This window comes from Homo sapiens, chromosome 21 (assembly GCF_000001405.40).
Source record: "Homo sapiens chromosome 21, GRCh38.p14 Primary Assembly".
NCBI lineage: Eukaryota > Metazoa > Chordata > Mammalia > Primates > Hominidae > Homo > Homo sapiens.
The window spans coordinates 13,905,127-13,909,447 of record NC_000021.9 but is presented as its reverse complement, the minus strand read 5'-3'; the positions used below and the strand labels follow the sequence as shown (position 1 = coordinate 13,909,447).

Below are 4,321 nucleotides of genomic sequence, written 5' to 3'. Positions count from 1 at the left end.
TCTGTGGGAAGGGTCCTGGGAGACCCAACAGCACAGTGTGTCTCATCTGCCAAATGTCCCTCCCTTCCTAACACTTTGACACTCAGGAATAGGGTAGATGGTGTGTCCAGGCAGTGCCAGGCCACCTCACTGTCTCCTTTGAGATGGGCCCAGAGGGCCTTTGGGGTGAGTGTGGAGCTGGGAACCTGGACCCTGAGGCCGACTGTCTCTCCCTGTGTCTTGGAGGAAAGGCCATTTCCCCAAAAAAAAAAAAAAAAACCCCAGGGCCTGACCTCTGGGCCCACATGCAGGGAGGGAGGGTCTGTGAGCTGAGGGGGACATTGTAATAAGACTTTGAGCACGGCTGCTCAGGGGCCTGGTCAGTGGACCATGGTCAGAGGTGACCTGGTCATCAGGACCTAGTATTTGGGACCTCATCAGCAGGCGCCTGGTTAGTGGTGGGCTCCTCAGTAAAGGCCTCATCAGTGGGGACCTGTTGACCTAGTCATTGGAAGCCTGGTCAGTGGGGGGACCTAGTCAGTGGTGGCCTTATTAGTGGGGCCTGATTGGTTGGAACATAAACAATGAAAAACTGGTTGGTGGGGCATATACAGTATACCAGGGGCCTGGTCAGTGTGAGGCCTTGGTGGCTTGGAGCCTGGTCAGTGAGGGCCTGGTCAGAGGTGGCTTGGTCAGCTGGGGACTCATCCATGGAGAATTGTTCAGTGGGGGGTCGGGTGAGCAGCAACCTGGTAAATAGTGGTCTTGTCAGTGGAAACCTGGTCTTGTCACTGGGGACCAGGTCAGTGGAAAATTGGTCAGTGGAGTCCGGCCCATGAGGCCTATTAACTGCGGGCCTGGTTAGGAAGACATGGTCAGTGGGGACTTGATCAGTGGGACCTGGTCAATGGAGGAGTGGTCATTAGGGGCCTCATCACTGGGAACCTGGTCAGCGGCGGTTGGTCAGTACCTGGCCCGCTGGCCACTGTGTGACCTCAGGTAGGGGGTTTGTCTGTGGAGCCTCACCTCCATCTGCAGGGAAGGTGAGTCAGGGCACCCTGGAGGGTGGCTGGAAAGAGAAAGTGAGAAGATGTGTTGAATGCAATACTGCTTGGCAGACCTACAACTTTACAAATGACCAGTGTTCCACCTAGAGAGGGTGCCAGCCCTCTCAGCATTATGCAGTGCCCCTCCTCTGTCTGCATCCCCACTCTAAGGTGACAGTGATGAGGACCTGGGTGCACCCATGAGTGGAGAAGCTAGGCCTGTCCAGAGAAGCAAGACAAACACACACATAAGTGCGCGCACACACACACAGGCACACATGCATACACAAACACATTGCATGCACACATGTCAGTTCAGGGGATAGAGGACACTGACTCTGGGCCCTGTTGACCCAAGCAGGCTTCCATTGTGGTGGGTTGTGTCACCCCACAGTGTCACTGTTGCTGAGTCCCCATCGCCTCTGTGTTGTGGAGCAGTTAGAGACACACAGCAGTGTCGTGAGTGGCTCTGTGTGAAGGACCGTTTTCTAGATGAGAGGCACATCTCAACACAGCTCACTGATCAGACTCAGGTGAGTGGGACATGCTCTTTTCTCTTCCTCCTGGCTTGGGGACAGTCACTATCAGGTGGGTGGTTTTGGCCTCTGGGCAGCTACTGAGGGGAATCCCTGAACACTCACCGGGTGCCTGTTCTGTGCTGACGGTCGTCTCATTCATCCTCGCAGCAATTCCATTCTGCATTTTTCTCATCACCCCCGTGACCACCCAGGACAACCCCATCAGGGCCCTGTCACCAGGCCCAGTCCAGCTCCATGATAACCAAGACGCAGGTCCAGAGACAACCGTCCTGCATCGTGCCTGCATCTGAACCCCCTTGGTGGGTAGTGACCAGCACAACATGGAAGAAGCCAGGGCAGCATGCGGCCAGCTGCTCTGCAGCCCCAGATGGCTCCTGAGCCTTGGGAAGTCATTCTTAAAGGGGAAGCTGGTCACTTTGAGGTCCCTGAAGGGAAGGGTGAACGTGCATCCCAACAGCCCTGGCAGCCAGCAGCATGCCATACATCTTCTCACCCAACCTGTGTGATAGAGGACCCCTCCTGGGGCACAAGTCCCATACCTAAAGCATCCTGTCCCAGTTGGACCTCATCCTGAGCCCTGGGAGGGGAGGGGCACCATAGGCCCCCCTGCAGCAGCCAGGATTACCACCCAGGGGACTTGGCCTTCTGTGGCCCTGGCCAGACTTAGAATTTGGCCCAAGACAAGACAAACTCACTCGGAGCAGCTTGTCAGTACCCGGGGCCTGTGTATGCCAGGTGAGGCCAAGCTGGCTCAAAGAGCAACCAGTTACCTCTGCAAGGGTGTGCCAGGAGCAGGTGGACCAGCCACCAACCTCCCCCACTTAAAGGAAACAGGGATGGCCAGGTTCCCACAGCCTGAGTTACCACCACCTGACAGCTGATGGAGTGGAGGCCTGAGGAAAAGCGGATGGCACTGGGGCTCTACCTCCAGGGCACAATAACTGATTTACCCTGACTGGCAGGGAGTAAGGTTGGTGGCTGGTCCACCGGCTCCTGGCACACCCTTGCAGAGGTGGCTGGTTGCTCTTTGAGTCAGCTTGGCCTTGCCTGGCATGCACAGGCCTCAGTGCAACAAATGTGCTGCAAATGGAGCCACATAGAGGAAATGAGCAGTAGGCTCAGGAGCGGGGTGTGTGCTGCCTTTGGGGCTCCATTCCATGCATCAGGGCTTCTACAGCACTGTGGGCTTCTTGGATGCCAAGAGGCAGACCACAGGCCATCTTGAGAAGGACTTGGTAAGAGATTACTTGGGTATGTGGATGATGTCCAGGGTGTTGGCCTGGTGTCCCTGAGACAGCATTAACAGGTCCATGACTGGGTCCAGGTCCTGCCTGGGCTGATTGGCAAAGAGCTCACTGACAGTGTGGAAGGCATCTATGGTGAAGTGGGGTCTATGTTCAAGTGCAGAAAGGGCCCAATCTGGTGGATGAACCACACGGCCAGCTTCTGGATGCAGGCACAGTGCCACATTTTTTGTCACTTCCTGATGCGCCCCACCAGCACTGAAGAGACAGCCTGGAGACAGGGCAAGAGGAAGGCTGAGAAGGATGAGTTGGTGAGTGCCAGATTCTTCCTGACCCTGAGCCCACCCCCAGGGCGACACTCAACCTTTAGGAGTGGGAGAGCAAGATTGACGGCTTCAAGTGCTTCACCAAGAAGATGGACAACAGGGCACTCAGCTCAACTTCACAGCCAATGAGTGGTGACAGGCTTTAAGAAAGAGCATCAGAAGGCTGCCAGTTCTTCTTCAGCCTCAGCCAGGCCTTGGAGCTGGACCAGGCCATTCACTTGAGTATAGATGCCTTCCACACTGTCTGTGAGGTCTTTGCCAATCAGTCCAGGCAGGACCTGGACCCAGCCATGGACCTGTTAGTGCTGTCTCAGGGACACCAGACCAACATCCTGGACATCATCCACATACACAAGGAAGCTCTTACTAAAGTCACGGAGAGCAAACAACAAGTGGCAGAAGGGAATATAAAGGTGCAGAGGCTGATGATGTCAGAATCACAGGAACAGGATTTCTTTGGCCACTTTGGCTGAAATTCACCACTTCCATCCAATTCCAGTGAGAGACATGGACTCACAGATGCAGCATTTCTTGCAACAAGAGATACTACTTTTTCAAAAAGTCACCCAGGAATTGATAGTGTTGAATGACTCGATACTCCATCGTGGACTGTTTCCAGTTCAAGGATACTTTCTACAGCAGAATAATAACACTAACAAAGAGCTAGTACAAGGATGGTTTTGTGCTCAACTGAAATCCAGCTGAATACAGAATTGTATAGGAAACAGTTAATATGGTGATAGAATAGAAACGGTAGCAAATGTGAACTAAATCATGCTATGAATGCCTAAACTACCGCTGTAACTTTTGGAAAAATGATAATACCACTTTATTGCTTTTTGAAGTATGAATATTTTAGTGTATGTGCTCTAGACCTCAAACCCTATAAAGAGTCTCAAAGAAGTTGGCTGGATAAAGCCTGCTGTGGAAGTCTTTATATTCAAAGATCGATGATGCAATTCGAATATGTGTCCACACGGAATCTCATGTTGAGTTATATTTCCTAATGTGGAAGGTGGATCCTGCTATAAGGTGATTGAATTATGAAGGCAAATTTCTCATGAATGGTTCAGCACCATCCCCTTGTACCATGCTCACAATAATGAGTGACTTCTCATGAGAACTGGTCACTGAAAACTCTATGTCACATCCCTACTCTCTGTGTTTTCCTCTTGCCATGTGAGAGA

General features: G+C 52.6%; 1 pseudogene; it reads left to right on the top strand.

The window, feature by feature from the left end:
- On the top strand, nucleotides 2,128-3,710 carry SNX18P13 (sorting nexin 18 pseudogene 13; annotated as a pseudogene).